This window comes from Homo sapiens, chromosome 8, assembly GCF_000001405.40.
Source record: "Homo sapiens chromosome 8, GRCh38.p14 Primary Assembly".
Lineage (NCBI taxonomy): Eukaryota > Metazoa > Chordata > Mammalia > Primates > Hominidae > Homo > Homo sapiens.
In genome coordinates, this window is record NC_000008.11 from 124,302,407 (window position 1) to 124,322,998 (window position 20,592).

Sequence of the window (20,592 nt, forward strand, 5' to 3'; positions counted from 1 at the left end):
TCTTTTATATATATAAATATATATTCTTTTATATATATTCTTTTATATATTTATATATTCTTTTATATACTTATATATAAATATATATTCTTTTATATATTTATATAAATATATATTCTTTTATATATTTATATATAAATATATATTCTTTTATATATTTATATATAAATATATATTCTTTTATTTATATATAAATATATATTCTTTTATATATTTATATATAAATATATATTCTTTTATATATTTATATATAAATATATATTCTTTTATATATTTATATATAAATATATATTCTTTTATATATTTATATATAAATATATATTCTTTTATATATTTATATATATATATCCCATCACCCACAGCAAATGGCAGCTGCCAAAGAGAACACCAATCCCATTCACACTCACGCAAAAACCGCGATGCCGACAAGAAAACTTCTATGAGAGAGATCCTGAACTTCCTTTTGGGGGACTATTTTTGTACAGAGAAAAACAGGGGGGTGGGGAGGGTGGAGGAATGGATCTTGTGCAGATTTGGAAGAAAGCAAGCTACAAAAAACTTTTAAAAAGTTCTAGTGGTACGGTAGGAGCTTTGCAGGAAGTTTGCAGGTCTTTACCAATAATATTTAGAGCTAGTCTCCAGGCGATGAAAAAATATTCTAATATTTGCAAGCAACTTTTGTACAGTATTTATCGAGATAAACATGGCAATCAAAATGTCTACTGTTTACAAGCTGAGAATTTGCCAGTATTTTTCAACGAGAAGCTTCTTGCTGCATTTTGATGCTGCAGCTGAAATTTAGCACAATTGCAAACGTGGAAAGAAGAAAATTATTGAAATTTGGACAAAAAATTGTAAGAAAGGAAAAAACTAAAATAAGTACTGGCAAACCATCTCTGTGGTCTTGTTTAAAAGGGCAAAAGTGCAAAACTTACATGGTTGGTAATTTATAATAGCTTTTGTTCAATCCCAACTTTCCATTTTGTTCAGATTAAAAAAATGAAGTTACTGTGTTCGAAATATTTTCCTATGGTTTGTAATATTTCTGTAAATTTATTGTGGTATTTTAAGGTTTTCCCCCTTTGTTTTCCGTAGTTGTATTTTAAAAGATTCGGCTCTGTAGTATTTCAATCAGTCTGCCGAGAATCCATGTATATATTTGAACTAATATCATCCTTGTAACAGGTACATTTTCAACTTATGTCTTTACTCCATTATACACAGTTTGAGATAAATTTTTGAAATACAAAAAATGTTGGCGCAAGGCCTTTTTATCTCTTTTTAGTTTCTTCTCCCCTGGGCAGAATGTAGATAAGATGGCTGGGACTGAAGCAGCCATTTTAGATCATGAAGTAACGTTGAGAATGACAGCTGTACATGATGAAGCAGAAGGACGAAAAGCTGGACCTCTGACCACCACTTTCCAGAGCATAACCCTTATACCAGCCCTGAACAACATGCCACAGTAATTTTCCATAGGAGATTCATTTCTATCTTATTTCAGTGACTGTTATTTTGGGGTTTTGTTACTTGCAACTAAGCCTCATAAAATTAGGAAAGTTCAGGACAGCAGTTCTCAAAGTGTGTTGGTATGGTCTGCGGACTTCTGAATTTTTTAGGGAGTTTGTGAAATCAAAACATTTTCAAAATATACTATGACATTATATGTCTTTTTAACTATGGTGACACATTCACCAATGGCGCAAAAACAATGGTGGGTAAAAGCACCAGCATCTTTGAAATGAGGCACTAGTAGTCATTGTATTCTTCATTGCCATGCACATGTAAGTCGGGGTTGTGGGGGAGGGGTGGTTTCCTTCAATGTCCTTAATAAAGCAGTAAAAATTACTTATTTTAAATCTTTACTCTTAAGTCTTTTAAATTTTCTGTATGAAAAAATGAGAACTGTATGTGAAGTACTTCTGAGGATACCAAAATATGATGGTTGTCTTGAGGAAAAGCACTAGTGAGGTTGTTTTGAGTAGTGAGTCTCGAGGCAATTCAGATGTGGGTATTTGACAGACATTTCCTCAAACATGAACAAAGTGAACTGTCACTTCAAGAAAAACTAACAGTATTTGTTGCCAATGATAAATTTTAAGCTTTCAAGTGAAAATTATTTTGGAAAATGTGTATCTGCCATCTGAATTTGATGGCCTCTCAGTATTAAAGAGGCTTTTTAAAATGAGATTGCTGGTCATATTAAACATGATTTTTAAACATTTTATATGGCAAAATATTAACATTTGGAAGATGTGCGTAACTCAGTGAATCAATAGTTTCCATGTGCCAAATGCATGATTTCACAAAATTATTCATGGGAAAAAGTTTCACTCAAAGTGCAAGGTAGACCACTGGAGTCTAATGAAATTCAATGCAAAATCTCATTTATGTGGCTTCAGATTCTATGTTGCAAATAACCTTTTAGATACTACCCCTTGTTCAGTATTGGTACAGTGTCCAAGAATAAATCTACAGCCTAGGCTATTAAAATATTCCTCCCTTTTACAACTTAATACCTCCATGAGGATGAATTTCTTCATTTACCTCAAACAAAACAACATATCAAACAGACTGAATGGAGAAACAGGTATGATAATCCAGCTGTCTTCTATTAAGCCAGACATTGAAAAGATTTGCAAAACGTGTATTAACAATGCTGCTCTTCTCACTAAATTATTTTTGAAAAATAATTATCATAAAATATGTTGTTAGCATGAAATTGGTTTATTTTAAAAGATTGGTAAATATTTTTTTAAATTTGTCAGTTTTCATTTCTGATATAGTCAATATAAACCTTCACAAACAAAAGTTACTTGGGGAAAAAAAACAGAACTACCGTCTGATCCAGCAATCCCACCAATGGGTATATACCCAAAGGAAAAGAAATCATTATATCAAAAAGAGACCTACACTTTTATGTCTATTGGAGCACTATTCACAATGGCAAAGATAGGGAATTGACTTAAGTGACCATCAACTGAAGCTGGATAAAGAAAATGTAGTGTGTGTGTGTGTGCGTGTGCATGTGTGTCATCATTTATATATATATATATATTTTTTATATTTATATATATATGAGACAGTATTCAGCCATAAAAGATAATAAAATCATGCCTTTTGCAGCAATGTGGATGGAGCTGGAGGTCATTATCTTAAGTGAAACATCTCAGAAACAGAAAGTCAAATACCGTATGTCCTCACTTGTAAGTGGGAGCTAAATAAGGTGTACAGAAGGACATAGAGTGTGGAATGATGGACACTGGAGACTTGGAAGGGTGGGATGGTGGAAGGCAGGCATATAAGGGATGAGAAATTACTTAATGAGTACAATGTAGACTAATCAGGTAATGGTTACATTAAAAGCCCAGGCTTCACCGCTATGCAATATACTCATGTAACAAAACTGCACTTAAACCCCTTAAATTTATACAAACTTTTTTAAAAGCAAGAAAAAGAAAACACCCTTTGGGGACATCAATATTTTTCCAGAGCATTAAGTTCTTGAGTGTTAAGTTCTTAAATGTTAAGATCTTAAGGCCAAAACGTTTAAAATAATTGATTTATGATATCTAAAGAATTTGAAGTATAACCACAAAACTGTTCTGTTTATAAAATATGAGAATAGTAAAAGTATTAAGCCCAGAGTTAGGTAAGCAATGTCACGTTAAGAAGAGAGGGGGCAGGCACATTCTAAAAATTGTACATCAATATACTTAATATTAATCCTCAGGGCAAAAGGTTAGAGAACAGATTCAGCAGAAAGTAAAATAACCATTAGCTCCATTAACCCAACACAAGTTTATTTACTAAGTCAAGTCAAACTGAGGAGTATTTGTTTCTTTGGTAGTTGGTAGACAAAGAATACATATACATATTCTATTTCCCATTAAGCATTTGATCATGTTACAAAACAATGGCCTAGAGAACTATCATTGAAGATTTACCAAATCTGCCTGAAGCAAAATGTGATAAACTGCAGAAATGGTGGAGAATGACACTGGAAGTCATAAAGTTGATTCTCAAACACGGGTTTGAACTGCATAGGACCGCTTATATGCATATTTTGATAAATATATTGAAAATTTTTTTGGAAATTTGCAACAATTTAAAAAACTTGCAGATGCACCATGTAGCTTAGAAATACTGAAAAACTAAGAAAAAGGTGTGTCATGAATTCATATAATATATGTAGACACTAGTCTATTTTATCATTTACTACCATAAATATATACAAATCTATTATGAAAAGTTAAAATTGGCCGGGCGCAGTGGCTCACGCCTGTAATCCCAACACTTCAGGAGGCCGAGGCAGGCGGATCACCTGAGGTCAGGAGTTCAAGAGCAGCCTGGCCAACATGGTGAAACCCTGTTTCTCCTAAAAATACAAAAATTAGCTGGGCATGGGGATGCATGCCTGTAATCCCAACTACTTGGGAGGCTGAGGCAGGAGAATCACTTGAACCCAGAAGACAGAGGTTGCAGTGAGCCGGCATGGTGCCACTGCACTCCAGCCTGGACAACAGAGCAAGACTCCATCTCAAAAAAAAAAAAAGTTAAAATTTATCAAAACTTAACGCATACACAGACTATACATTGGAGCCATTTGCAGTTGAGACAAACATAAAGATGCAGTACTAAATTACAACTGGATAAGATTAACTATAGTACATACTGCACTACTACCATAATTTCAGAGCTACCTCCTGTTGCTGTTGCTGTGAGCTCAAGTGCTGTATTCACTTAAAATGCCATGTGATGTTTATCATCTCCACATGGGCAGTTCATCTCTCCAGTAAATTGTGTATCGTAGTAAAAAGTGATCTCTCATGGTTCTCAGTTATTTTTCATCATGTTTAGTACAACCATAAACCTTGCAATAATACCAAGGGACCCATATGAAGTCCCGCTAGTGACGCTGGAAGTGCTCCCAAGGAGCAAAGTCATGACATTACAAGAAAAAGTTAAATTGCTTGATGTGTACTGGTCTGCAGCTGTAGTTGCCCATCCTTCAAGATAAATGAATCCAGCATAAGGACCACTGTTAAAAAAAATTAAGAAAATTTATGAAGCCATTACTGCATCTATACCAGCAAACCTTACACTTTTTGTGATATACCTTTTTATCTCGTATTAAAAATGCAACTTTTATGTGGGTGCAGTATTGCTACAAGAAAGACGTACCTATAGGCTCTAATATGATTGGAGAAAAGGCGGTCATTATATGACAATTTAAAGCAAAAGGAAGGTGAAGGATCTAAATCTAGAGAATTTAATGCCAGCAAAGGATGGCTTGATAATATTAGAAAGAAGTTTGGCTTTAAAAATGTTAAGATAACAGAAGAGGCAGCTCCTGATGACCAAGAGGCAGCAAATGAGTTCCCAGATGCCATTAAGAAAATCATTGAGGAGAAAGCATATCTACCAAAACAGGTTCTTAAGGCAGACAGAAGTGCCCTATTATGGAAAAATAATAATATGCCACAAAGAACATTTATTAGTAAAGAAGAGAAGTGAGCACCAGGGTTTAAGGCAGAAAGGGACAGGCTAATGCTATGGGTTTTTGCAAATGCTGTTGGGTTTATGATCAAGACTGCACTTATCTATAAAGCTGTTAACTCCCAAGTCTTGAAGGGAAAAGATAAACACCAGCTGCCAGTCTTCTGGCAGTATAACAAGAAGGCCTGGACGACAAGAACCCTTTTTCTGGATTGGCTCCATTGCTGTTTTGTCTTTGAAGTCAGGAAGTACCTTGCCAGTAAAGGACTGCCTTTTAAAGTTGTTTTGATACTGGACAATGCCCCTGGCCACCCACCCAGAACTCCATGAGTTCAATACTAAAGGCATCGAAGTGATCTATTTGCCCCCAAACACAATGTCTCTAATTTAGTTTCTAGATCAGGGAGTCATAAGGACCTATAGGCTCATTACACACAGTACTCTATGCAAAGAACCATCAGTGCCATGCAAGAGAACTCTAACAAAGAGAACATCATCAAAGTCTGGAAGGATTCCACCACTGATGATGCCATTGTTGCTACAGAAGACATGAAAGCCATCAAGCCCAAAACAATAAATTCCTGCTGAGGAAAACAACCAGATGTTGTGTGTGACTTCGCAGAATTTACAACAGAGCCAATCAAGAAAATCATGAAAGAGGTTGTAGATATGTCAAATTAAATAAATAAATAAATGGTGGAGGGTAGAAAGTTTCAAGATCTGAATCCTGGAGTGAATCAAAAGCTAAGCAATTCAAAAGCTTAGCTTTTGGAGATGAGTGCCTCTGAATCAGTGCCACAGAATGAGGAGGAAGACATTTAGAAGCAGTGCCAGAAAACAAATCAACATTAGACAATCTGGTAGAAGTGTTCTGATTATTCAAGACTGATTTTACAACATGAACCCTTCTATCACACAGGCACTAAAACTAAAGCAAATGGTGGAAGAAGGATTAATACCATATATAGAAATATTTTGAGAAATGAAAAAAAGCAAAACATCAGACAGAAGTTACAATGCATTTTCATAATTACACGTAGTGTGCCTGCCTTTCCTGCTTCCCCTTGCACCTCTGCTACCACTAAGAGCAAGACCAATCCTTCCTCTTCCTCCTCCACCTCAGCCTACTCAACATGAAGACAAGGAGGATGAAGACTTTTATCATGATCCACTTAATGAATAGTAAATGTATTTTCTCTTCCTGATGATTTTAATAACATTTTCTTTCTTCTACCTTTATTTTAATACAATATATGATACATATAACATACAAAATACGTGTTAATCTACTGCTTATTTATCAGAAAGGCTTCCAGCCAATAGGAGGCTATAAGTAAAGTTTGGAGAGAGTAAAAAGTTGTATTCAGATTTTCAGCAGCACAGGGGGTTGGTGTCCCTAATCCCTCCATTGTTCAAGAGTCAACTGTAAATGATTTGCTGATGGGAATATCTACAGACTTTTTTGAATTCTAGGGTTGCTTCCCCACACTTCTGTGCCATTTTCACCTACTGCTGTCAGTAAACATGCAAGAAGTAAGTATTAATCTTAATATTTAACTGTTACTCTTTAGGCTTAATGCAGTTATTAGTAATATGAAACAAAAAGAAAACATTTTACAATGAATTCCAAAGTGAAACATATTTCACATATCTGAGATTTTCTTAACACCAACTTTCTAGTACCTAGCATGATACTTTCTCTTCACAGAATATCTGTACTGTTTGTACCTTCGCTTCCTTCAGGTCTTCACTGACCATCTTCACTTATGACCACTGGTACTTTCTATCCTCTTTATCTTGTTTCATTTATCTCTATAGAACTTACCACCATCTGACATAAACAATATTTAAGTGTATATTTGCAGGTGGGCGCAGGGGCTCACGCCTGTAATCCCAGCACTTTGGGAGGCCGAGACAGGTGGACCACCTGAGGTCAGGAGTCTGAGGCCAGCCTGGCCAACATGGTGAAACCCCGTTTCTACTAAAAATACAAAAAAATTAGGCTCGGTGGCACGTGCCTGTAATCCCAGCTACTCAGGAGGTCAGGAGTCTGAGGCCAGCCTGGCCAACATGGTGAAACCCCGTTTCTACTAAAAATACAAAAAAATTAGGCTCGGTGGCACGTGACTGTAATCCCAGCTACTCAGGAGGCTGAGGCAGGAGAATCACTTGAACCCAGGAAGCAGAGGTTGCAATAAGCCAAGATCACGCCACTGCACTCCAGCCTGGGTGACATCAAGACTCCATCTCAAAAAAAAGTATATTTGCTTTTCTGTGTTCTCTTCCCCTATTACTACCCACCCCAAAAGAATAAGCTTCATGAGGGTACAGATGTTCTGGTTGTTCACTCAGTGCCTTGAACATCCTAGCACATAGTATGTAATAAAGAACACAAGATTTCTTAAATGAATCTTGGATTGTAAGCACAATATTCTTAAATTATAGATAAGAAAATGACTCCATGAATCTGGAGGTAAAAAGGAACCTAGGCAGAGAGCAGACATTGCAAAGCCCATGCAACTGATGTCCCTACTGCCTAGCAGTTAAGAAGACAGGCTTCATACTTGGACAAAATAGGATTCCAGTCCACTTATTCGTAGTGGCAAACTAACCTCTTCATGCCTCAATTTAGCTATGAGAAAATAGAGATGATAATGATAATAGCCCCAACTTAATGTTGTCATTAAGGTGATTAAATGCAATAATGTGTGTAAATTACTAGTGCATAAAGGACCAAATAAGTGTTTAATAAAAGGGAACTATTATTATTACTACTACTACTATCATCATCATCATCTCAGTCAGGATCCAAAGCCAATTTTTTAGTATTTCCCAAATAATTTATGGTAAGATAGGCTAACCAGTTTCTAAGTCCAGACAACTGAGAAAAAAAGCAGATTAGAGAGATAAAAGTTGCCAGAAGCAAGATCAGAAAAAAAAATGAAAACTATAAAAACTAGATTCTCAAGGTACTGCATTACCACACAATAATAATATACATAAAGATAATGCTTAGCCACTAAGAAAAAGGTTATATTATATTTAATATACTGTCTTAAGATGGCGAGAAAATATAATTCTAAAATTAGAAAGATTTACTTCAAAATGGCTCATACAAACTTTTGGTATAAAAGATAAACTTCCATTACCTTCAAAATTTATGTTCTAGAGAAAAAGAATAAAGTAAATGAGACTATTACATAAACAGCTTGGATATATCTGCTGTAAATACCCATCAGTGTGACTTATGTGAGTCTATCTAAAGCTTTTCTATGGGCTCACTCTTCACTCATACGCTGATGTTGTATCTCAGGTGCAGATTCCAGGGAGGTGGTAAATTGTTCCATTCACTATCTCAGTGACATTGCTGCCACCTTGTAACAAATCCGTATTCATTAATCCTGTTTGCTTTAGTAACAGAATATACCAAGGCCCTCTGAGATTAGTAAGAAATCAAATTTCAAAATCAAAACCACATTCCAAATTTCTTAAAAGATACTTTTTTTGTTCAATTCCTTTGTAAAAACATTGGTCACCATTTAACATACATGGCAACAAAATGCACCCAATTTACATGCATCAACAAGTTAATAAATCATAATACATGGACAACACAAATTTAAACAAACAGGACTAAAGTAGCTCATGTTGCATTTAACTATGGTTCTTGTGCTCCTAATAGAGAAGTAGCTAATATGAGAAACAAACAGTTCCAGTTTCAACCTAAATTAAAGTTATTTGTGGCAAGTAACATGAAACAATGATCATATGAAGTCATTATCTTAAAAAGAACCATTCTTCAGAAATCACTTTGTGGCAAAGCACCATACTAGGGTAGACTATGATCTTAAACATATACCTTCAGTTAAAGACAAATGGTCTCCATTTTTTGAAAATTACCTGAATGATTCAAATTTTTATTATGCCCATAAATTAAAATTATCTTTCAATGTGAAGGTTATATATTTTGACACCTTAAATAATTCTGGAGATGTTCAGTTAAACCAGTAATTCCCTGGGACCAGATTACTTTCAAGAGCAAGAAGAAAAAACAATAATCAAAAGCCCTTTCTAAAGTCACAGGCAAGGTTTCTGATACGGGATTTAATTAATAAGAAGTTAAGCACCACAGTAAAATACATTTTTAGAAAACAGAGTGGACTGCCATCAATACACAAGTTAGGGACAAAAGAAAGCACTTACACTTTACCCCACCCTTCCCCCCCCAAAAATTTAAGCACTCTAATCCTATCAATCAGAAATTTTACAAAGGATTTTTTGTGTGGTTATCTGTGTGTGGTTATTATATGGAAGATACAAACCGAAATTCTATTTAAGATCTCAAGTTCTAGAATCATGATTTGATTCAGTAAGAATGTCACATTATTTGTGCATGTTATATATTTATTTTTAGATTATATGCTATATTTTTATGCTTTCTCTCCTCAAAGTCTATGATTAAAGGATGGCACTTATGCATTCTGAAGCGCATGAGAGAATTTATGACAAACTGCCTTGTGAAAAAATATCTACTCTGAAGAGTTCAAAGTAATTATGTATAAATAAAACCTTAAAATAAACTGCTGTAAAACCTCTGCATCTATTTAGCAACACAAATAACTTCAAAAGCCAAAATACTATTTTAATTTTAAGTTTCTCTCCTCCATGATGTGTTTAATTACGCTGTTACAAGTAAGACTAATTTTTTAGCATGTGTAACAGACCACATGCTAAAAAAGTTTAAGGGTTCAGAAAACTAAAATTTATAATTCTTACATGGTTATACTTAAGCCAGAAGTACAAGACTAGAAATAAGTAACTTCAACCTAAAATATGCTTTAAATACCACAAAAGAAGAAAAAAGAAAAACAAAGGGAAAAAGGATTTCTCCTCATGTAATTTTTGAGTAGACTATGTAGCAAAAAAGCAAAATATTAAATATCTAGTTTTCACTTCAACAGAAATTATTCATAAATAAAATTCACTAAATAAGATATAATGAGATTAGGAGTATGAATATGGGGTATTCAGACTTATTCCATTCAGATGAGAAGATGACATCTTTGGAGGGAAAAAAAAAAACCTTACCAAATAATATAAATTGTATCTCATTAATCTTTCAAACATCACTTCAACTTCATCATTTATACCATAAACCTTCTTGACAGTTCCTATTTTCCACCTTTTTTTAAAAAAAGCTTTAGTCTCTTAATTTCCAAGCATCATGTTAAATCCCTTAGTTCAATCTAATTCCACAATCCCCATTTCAAAGACTCTAAAATAATCATTTGCTTCCCCTCAAAAGTCAGAATCCACCATGTAATTATTCAAAACTGGGAAACTAAAAGGTTAAAAAAAATCAACTAAAAATTGTACGCTTGTTAGTATACACGGTTTCATGTAGCAGGGAGACCACATAATTGCTCTTTGTGATTAACCCTCTGGCCCTTAAAATAGTAAAGTCAGAAAATTAAAATAAGTAATATATACTTAAAATACTTAAAACCTGTATCTATATCCATTTTCAATAGATGTGACAGTTAAGAAATGACTGAAATTATATTATTATAAATGTTTACTGCATAACAGTACAAAATTGATGTTCCCAAAAAGAGGGTAAAAAAATCTTTAACTGACATTAAACATCTTAAGTAATTTGGAAAAATCCCAAGGTTGAAATGTAACTATCAGGGAACAACGAAAAATGCTTTCATGCATGTACACATGTTAAGTAACAAATAAGCAAACCCCAAGTCAATACAGTACATCAATGACACTTAAATAACATTATGAATATAAAAAGAAAGGATAAAATGTTGACTGCTATTGATGAAAAAGCATTTCAACAATATACACAAAATGATACTAAACAGCTTTTTAAAAAAGATGTCCTAAGAAGATCAAGCCACAATAAGTTAGTGTTTTCCATAATACATGCTAAATTATTTGATCCCATATCTATACTGTTACTGTCTTAATTCCTAAATGTTGTGACAGCATATTTAATTACTGAGGTACATTAGTTTACATCTTTTTATAGGTATTCTAAGAGGATTAACTTTTCGTTTCCAGTTTTTCATCTTCTTCACCTCCTCCAAAGAAAATTAAAGGAAACATTCCTAGAATGCAGCCAATAGTCACCCCAACAGCTTTGCCCTAAGGAAACAAAAGAGAACATTTTTAAAGTTACTTTATCTCTGATAACAAGAAGGCAGAGAAAAAATCTCACCAGCTCTTCTCAATATATTTGGATTTGCTACCCTTCATATATATTCCTCTTCAATATTTATCCCTGTGTATACCTAATTATATGTAGATATAATCATTATGTAAACATAGCTTTGTTTTCTTCCTCAATCCGTACCCCTGCATAGCCACACATTTTCTCACAAACTCTTTTCCAAACTGCTACACAAACTTAAAGACTTCTAAGTTCAACTGAATTGACGGGTCTATATTCTACTTAAATCTCTCTTTACCGCCATAGCCACTGCTACTTCTTCAACATTATAAGTGAAATAACAATAAGCATTTCCATGTATATTTCTTCCCCAATGATTTGTTTAAAAGTCAAACAGTATTAATATTTGTGCATCTTCATGAAGCATTCATCCTTGACAACGCTGCACATACTTACATAGCAATTTCAGTATACATAAATGTAGACACACATACCAATTATCCTGCAACTTCACCTACATTATAAAAATTTTATTTCATTTTTATTTATTTTATTTGTTTTAGAGACAGGGTCTCCCTTTGTCACCTAGGCTGGAACGCAGTGGTATGATCATAACCCACTGCAGCCTTGGCTCAAGCCATCTTCCTGATCTCTTCCCGAACTCTTTGGCTCAAGCGAGCCTCCTGACTCAGTCTCCCCAGTAACTAGAACTACAGACACATGCCACTATGCCTAGATAATTTTGTTACTTTTATTATTTTTTTTTTTTGTAGAGCCAGGGTCTCCCTATGTTGCCCAGGCTGATCTTGAACTCCTGGCTTCAAGAAATCCTCCCACCTTGGCCTCCCAAATGAGATTACAGGCTCTGGGAGCCACCACACCCAGATCATTATAAAAATTTAAAATTGTTATTTTTGTAAATGGTTTTCAAAATTTGCATTCCTATGATGACTATCAAGTTTATATACTTTTCAATTAAGTTTCATTTCCTCATACAAATATTTATTGAGAAGCTACTATGTGTCAAACTCTGTACTGGGTGTACCATGGAGATGGACTAATCTTATGCAGTCTGTCTCTCTCCTCCAGGAACTTCTAGTTAGGTACACAGGGAAAGACAAAATAAGTTCTATCAAACATTACAGTTACTATGATAGCTACATAATCTTTAGTCTTGAATGAAATGTTTTCTCTTATACATTGTCTATTTAGCTATCATATCCTACAGTTTTTTTTTTGTTTGTTTTTTTTTTGAGACGGAGTCTCTCTCTGTGGCCCAGGTTGGAGTGCAGTGATGTAATCTCGACTCACTGCAAGCTCCGTCTCCTGGGTTCATGCCATTCTCCTGCCTCAGCCTCCTGAGTAGCTGGGACCACAGGTGCCCACCACCACGCCCGGCTAATTTTTTGTATTTTTAGTAGAGCCGGGGTTTCACTGTATTAGCCAGGATGGTCTCGATCTCCTGACCTCATGATCCACCCGCCTCGGCCTCCCAAAGTGCTGGAATTACAGGTGTGAGCCACCCCGCCCAGCCCACATCCTACAGTTTTTCTAACAAATTTAATAGTAGACATTAATATTTTGACAATAGCTTGCATAAAAATTTTTCAACTCTTATTTTGAGGCTTTTGGTGGTGGTAGTGGTATTAGTAGTATGACCACTGCTTGATATTAATAGTCAAAACTGTTATTTTCGTTATGCCAAAACTTTAAAAGGTATCATTCATGCAGAGTTTTAACAAGAAGAAATTTTCTTCATTCCACATGCTGATAAAGTTAATCCTAGCTTCTTGTTTTTTGACTTTAACATATTTACTCATTTGAATATATGCATAGAGAAATCATTATATTCTATTTCAGACTCCTGACTTTCCCATATACAGAAAATAACCATTGCCAATAGGCCCCACTTTCACTTCCCACCCATTCTGTTAAATTCCTCTTGCAACCAAGGCTTTCCTTGCCCCTCACTTTAGGAATACCAGTCAGTGATTTCTGACCCAATTATCTCAAGAGATATAATGTCAATAGGGTGGAGAAGAGGAAAAAAAGTGATATACTTTTCTCACTCCCTGATCCAGGACCTGAAACAAATTTTTCCATTGTGAAAACATTTATTTATACATTATCATTATGTCTTACAATACTCTAGGCCCCATAGTTAACTACACTGGGGCTAATTGTAGAACTTGAGTCCCATCTGTAATACTGTTTTATAAGAAAATATTTTTTGAATTTCAAACAACCAAATTACAAGTGAGGTTTTAAAATACACCTGTGTCAACTGGAACCTGCATGTGTATCTGTATTTATTCTATCATGGGTAAATTTCAGAGTTAGCTTTTGTCATGAGTAGATGGCTGGTCACTAACTTCAAATACTTCAGGCTGTATAGAATCAAAATGTTATGTTACAGAGTAGAAGATTTGATTCTAAAAACAAGCAGAGTCAACAACTAAGGAACAGAATCACTGTTGCCATAAACCAGTGAGGGGTTTATCACAATACACACGCAGACACACACACACTCAATATAGTAATACTAGTTTAGTAATCTGATGCTTTTGTCATAGAGAAGAGAAAATGAACCTGCTTTTAATACAGAAAGAAAACAATTATTATGCCCCAGGAAAATAAACTTCTGATCCCAACTTTAATGCTAAAATTTTTAAGACAAATTGCTAGAATGTTAGAATATCCTTATTCCCTCAAAACTCCAGCTGGTATCAGGGGCTAGTCTCACTTTACTTACAAATTGTAAGATATGGACACATGTAAACTAAAAGGAAAAGCCCAAAATTAACATTCTACTTTCTTAAAAGACTTTTCAACCTTTATAAAGTAAAAATTACAACAAGCAAATAGGTCCTCATTTTGTTTCTCCACACTCTTCCTACATTTTGATTGAAAAGCAAACACTTCCCTGGTATAGTTGTGATCCTTCTACTACTCATATTTTAAAGGGTAGTAATTATTGCAGATTTAAAGTGATTTAAAGTGATTAGTGATGAATTTAACTCTATATTACCTATGTGTATGTTTTTGTACTCTGTATGAATATTTTGCAGGTAAAAATTGTTTACTTCCAAAACATTCAATATCTTCATTAAAATAAATTCCATCTAACTTAACATTAATTTTATATTTTATTCTTCTTCTTCACCTCCCGTTAGTGTTTCAATTCATTGTCATTTGATTTTTCTTCTTCCATCAGTCCATAGAAATTGCTCAGAAATGATTATCAATGAGCAACTACATACCAAATCCAAAAACAAAAAAAAATTTTCAGAAATTTTATTTGATTTCTTTATATCAAGAGGAATTGGTTATCATTCATTACTTCTTAAAACTTCGTCCTTGATAGCTCCCATAAGACTATGAGCTCTTAGGTATTTTCTAGGGTTCTTTAATTCTGCACATTTTCTCTGGAACAACAGTTCTCAAATTTTAATGTACAACAGAATTAAAACACAAATTGCTGGGTTCCGTCTCCAGAACTTTTCATTTTGTGAATCTGTAGCAGGCACATTTTAAGGCGGCCTCCATGATACCTTCCTTCTGGTATTTAAGTCTTTGCATAATCTCCTCCCCTTGAGCATAGGTAGGATGCTCTAACTTGCTTTGAGTAATAGGAAAGGTGATGGGGTGTTACTCCTGTGATTATATTACATTACATAAGGCTCCATCTTGCCATCCTGCCAGCAGACTCATTCCCTTTCTCCCTTGCTGGCTCTGAAGATGCAGGCTGCCATGTTGTGAGAGGGTCTACTGAGAGGGCCACATGGCAAAGAACTGCAGGTGACCCGTAGATCGGGGTGTCCAATCTTTTGGCTTCCCTGGGCCACATTGGAAGAAGAAGAATTTTCTTGGGCCACACATAAAATACACTAACACTAACGATAGCTGATAAGCTTAAAAAAAATCACAGAAAAAATCTCATAATGTTTTAAGAAAGTTTACCAATTTGTGGTAAACTTTTGGATTACCAAAAGCGAGTTGCACAAGCTTGCTCTAGATGGAGGGAGGCCTCCAGGACATGAGAGTGCAACAGCAAGCCAGAGGTTAGGTCCCTCACAGCCACAAAAAAATTAATTTTGCCAAAGACCTGGGTGAGCCTGGAAGTGGATTCATCACCAATTGAGCTTCTAGACAGGAACGAAGTCCTAGCTGGACATGATTGCAGCCTTCCAGAGGACCCATTTAAGCTATTCCTGATCTGACCCACAGAAAATGAGAGATAACAAATATATGTTGTTTTAAGCTGCTGAATTTGCATGTTTTTGTTTTTTTTTTTTTTTTTTTTTTTGAGATGGAGTCTCACTCTGTCACCCAGGCTGGAGTGCAATGGCTTGATCTCGGCTCACTGCAACCTCTGCCTCCCAAGTTCAAGCAATTCTCCTGCCTCTGCCTCCTGAGTAAGCTGGGATTACAGGCGCCTGCCACCACGCCCAGCTAATTTTTGTATTTTCAATAGAGACAGGGTTTCACCATGCTGATCAGACTGGTCTCAAACTCCTGACCTCAGGTGATCCACCCGCCTCGGCCTCCCAAAGTGCTGGGATTACAAGCATGAGCCACCCCATCCAGCTGCAATAATTTACACAATAATAGATAGGTCTAAGATGAAGACTGAGTGTTTGCATTTCTAAGAAGTTACCAGGTAATGTTGATCCTGCTGATGCTGGCACCACATTTTGAGAACCACTCTCCTATGAAATCTCATCTTCTCCCATGGTTTGAACAATCATCTACCTTTTCAGTGAGGCCTACAGTGACTCTCCTATTGAATATTGCAGTCTGCTTCCATCCTAGCACTCCTAGCCTCTTCTACCTCGCTCTGTTTTCCCTTTTTATTCTCATAACACATATAAACTTCTAATATGCTAAATATTTTTATTTATCAGATTGTTTATTGTCTGTCTCCTCACTGCTTGAATGTAAGATCTATCAGAAATAAGATCTTATTTTGTTAACCAATGTATTCAAAACTCCTGTATCTCTACTTGGCATATAATACGTAAACAATAAGTATTTGTTGAATGAAGGAGTGACAATACCCATTATCACTAACTCTGACCTATCTAACTCTTGACTCTAACCTAAATGCCTACTAGGTGTCACCACTCAAATGTCCTATTAGTATCTCAAATTCAATGCGTCCAAAATAGAACTCATTATCTTCCCTTACAAGCTTATTCCTCCTCCTTTTTTTCTTGATTTTATTGATGGCATCATGATCCATCCAGTTTACTTCTTACTTAAAACTCCCCTGGCTCTCCATCACTTAGGTAAGAGGCTCAAGCTCCTTAGCATTCACATACAATAGCTTTCCTGTCTGATCCCTGCTTACTTCTCCAATGTTGTCTCCTGCTGCTGCTTATACCTACAGCTACTATATATTATATTCCTAAAGTCGGTTCTTGTATTTACCTAAATATACCCTTTTTTTATCATCCTCTTCTAATTGCTAGTCAGTATGCTTGGAACTCCTCTTATTCATCTAGTAAATGTCTCATCTATAATTCAAAAATCGGCTTAGATCTAATAATAACCAAGAAATCTCCCCACCAAAAGAAGTTACTCCCCACAGTGTTAATTCCCTTACCTGTATCATGGTTATATCTTGTACATAATTCATTACTGCATATGTCATACCAAATTATAATTTGTTTATATGTTTGGTTTTCCACCTAAACAAGTTCCTCAAGGATAACCACAGTTTATTATTCGTTTTATGTTCTTTAGACCCCAACCTATAAGAGATACTCCCTAATACTAAGTGAATTACAAAATATTTTTTAAAAATTAAGTATACCTACAAAAAATAAGGAGTTAATAACACAAATTACTGTTCTTCTGAAAACTGCCAACGTCTAGACAATTTTTGTTAAAAACTCCATTCAAACCAATTTTAGTCTCAAATTTCTCAAGGGCCTGAACTATACAGAATCTTGCTCTGGCTACCCAACTCATTATCATAAACCATGTAAATTACTTACCAAATGTGTACTAAGACGTGTTTGCCACATGTCAACTTGCTTTGGTGTGAGATCAGGAATTGACAGGCCTAACCTGGAAGCCAATGCTTCAACGTAGCCTGCAAGTCTTTGAAGAAACAAGACAATATGATATATAGGTTATGTTTCAATAAAGCCTTTACAAAAGCAAACAAAACAAAACAAAGACATGAGGACAAAATATAGGTTTTTAAAAAGACATGCAAATGTCCTCATATAGTAAACTAATTACTACAAGGAGAAACAAGATAATTTTACATTTGCACTTGTACTCTAGAAATGACATAAACATTCTTTACAACTTTTAATTTTTATTGCATATATTGTTTAAAAATATTTTATTAACATATTTAACACAAAGGAAAATTAATGACAGAGCAAGTATTCTCTATTATTATTTTTAAAAACAATTCAAGGTATGTAACAATTTGTACAGATAATTAGAATTTCTGCAATTATTCCAAACTCAAAGCAAAGCACTTTAACATATGATACAAATTAGTAACTTATCAGACAGCAAAAGTTTCCAAAATTCCTCAGATTGGTAAACTAACAAAAACACCTTAGAACTGTCAGGCCAATCTCAAGTATTTTATCAATTCTAAGTTGCCATCATTTATTGGATACATCCTTACTTTATGAACTGTAAGAAAGAAAAAATATTGCTAATTAAACTATGTATACTACCAACAATAAGATGGATCCTGATATCAGATACGTTAAAATGCATCTGAGAATGCCTAAAATGTGGTATTTGTTATTGAATGATACCCCCCAAAAGAGAGAAGAGAAATAGTTTTTAAATACAAAGACTTCCAGAAAAATCTTCATCTCTAAACAAAAACAATTGTTTTATGATGCAATATATAGCTAAATGGCTTTAAAATCTCTTAGATCATTTGGTTCTATTAAATATATCAGAAAGCTATACAATGACTGTAATATTCTCATTATTTACTTTAATGTTGGAAACTGGGAATAGAATGTTTAAGAGATGATATCATGATACATTTATGCCAGGAATTCGAAGAATATAAAATTCTTGCCATGGTCCTAAAACAAAGAAACTTTGTTTTTAACTGTGGCTTTGGCCCCAAACTCCAGTGCAGAAGTCTAATATAAAAGGTTAAGGTTAGATCACTTAAAAAGCTGCTTTGCCTAGATTATAGGGCTAAGTAAACTTCTAAGAAAAAATTCAAATCTGAAATTGTAACACTCAAATGAGTCAAGGAAAGAAGAGACAAAATCAAAGACAGAGCAAGACAGAGCATATTTATCATAATAATGTCCACTTAGTCTAATTTATACTCCCCCAGGCTTCCCCAAGCTCAGGAAGCAACTCAGGCCATCTGCTACTTGGAACAAGAATGTAAAGAGAGAGAGAAAGCTGGCCTTTTCTAAATAGATGTCCTTAGTTTGTTTCATTATTCCTGCCACATAAAGTAAAGAGAGCAAAAAACAGCCAAACCCATATATGCTTTGGCCATTATTTCCTTTGAAAGTTCCCCCCTCTAGAAAACATGTCTAGTCAGTATCCTCAAATTCGAGCCATATCCCTTCTCTTTGGGTTTTCTGGGAGTAGGGTGAGGTGGAATAATGAGAGAGGTTCTTCCTTTTACTCCTGTCTTACCCTTGGAGATGTCTATAAAATACATATAAATACTTCAGTAAACACAAATTCCATTTTGCTTACATTATGGTAAATTTAGAATAAACTTTTGCATACATCAGAACCACTCATGAAAATTACTAAACACAACTGCCAGGGCTCCCTCTCCAGAGACACTAATAATGTATAACTGGGATATCACCCAGGCATCTATATTTGATGGATACCAAAGATTTAGTACTATTAGTTTAGAAAAAGTAAATTTGAAATTTTAATTCTAGAAAACAAAGAAAAATGAAATATTCTTTTGTTATGCTTCTCAATTAAAGAAGAGTGGGGAACAGAAAGACAGCAAGTACAGAATATACAAATGAATAAGTGAATGAACCTACCCAAGTCCAGCTAGATCTGACACAAGATTTCCCAAAGCAGCAGCTAAAAATTTGAAAAATAAATAATTGTTACATAAAAGAATAATAATTATATCACTATGTAATCAATAAAGCACTGATCTTGGAAGAGTTCTCATATTTCTCAAACAACAGCAACCATATCCAAAGTAACTCATTGGACAGCTCTTACTCTCAAGGTTTTGAAATAGAACACAATTTTGAAATTATGCTATTCTACCTCCATTAAGTAGTAGGTTTTTTTGTTATGGCAGCCAATTTCCATTTTGGTTTCAATATTAATTGTAGAATATTTTGTAGTATCTTTCATATAATATTTAAAGGAATTGGTAAAGTTGCATGTACAGCTATGAAATTCAAGAAAGTCAAGGAGAAAAATATGTTTCTTTCATTAACTCATTTACCTAATGCTTTCTACAATAAATACAACATAGAACTCTTCCCAAATTTTACCTCTGTGAAGAATAGAGTGGTAAATGGGACAGAGAAGACAGATGTTTAATCCTGTATTTCCTTCTTTGATTTTTCTACCCAACTCAAGAAAAAAAAAATTCTACCCAACTCAAAAATAAATAAATAAAAAATAAATAATAGGCTGGGCGTGGTGGCTCACATCTGTAATCCTAGCACTTTGGGAGGCCGAGGCGGGCAGATCACGAGGTCAGGCATTCAAGACCATCCTGGCCAACATGGTGAAACCCCGTCTCTACTAAAAATACAAAAATTAGCCAGGAATGATGGCAGGCGCCAGTAGTCCCAGCTACTCATGAGGCTGAGATAGGAGAATCCCTTGAACCTGGAGGTGGAGGTTGCAGTGAGCTGAGATTGCACCACTGAACTGCAGCCTGGGTGACAGAGTGAGACCCCGTCTCTAAA

General features: G+C 34.8%; 1 protein-coding gene across 1 annotated transcript in view; it reads right to left on the reverse strand.

Annotated features, from left to right (window-relative positions):
• Nucleotides 1-3,782: 3,782 nt before the first annotated feature.
• The window catches only part of TMEM65 (transmembrane protein 65), a 66,513-nt gene continuing 49,703 nt past the window's right edge, over nucleotides 3,783-20,592 (reverse strand). Inside the window, exons 5-7 of the mRNA NM_194291.3 lie at nucleotides 19,699-19,741; nucleotides 17,680-17,785; nucleotides 3,783-11,655 (exon numbers count right to left, since the gene is read on the reverse strand). Of these exons, the coding sequence (NP_919267.2) occupies nucleotides 11,554-11,655; nucleotides 17,680-17,785; nucleotides 19,699-19,741 (251 nt within the window). The 3' untranslated portion in view covers nucleotides 3,783-11,553. The remainder of the gene's footprint in view (nucleotides 11,656-17,679; nucleotides 17,786-19,698; nucleotides 19,742-20,592) is intronic.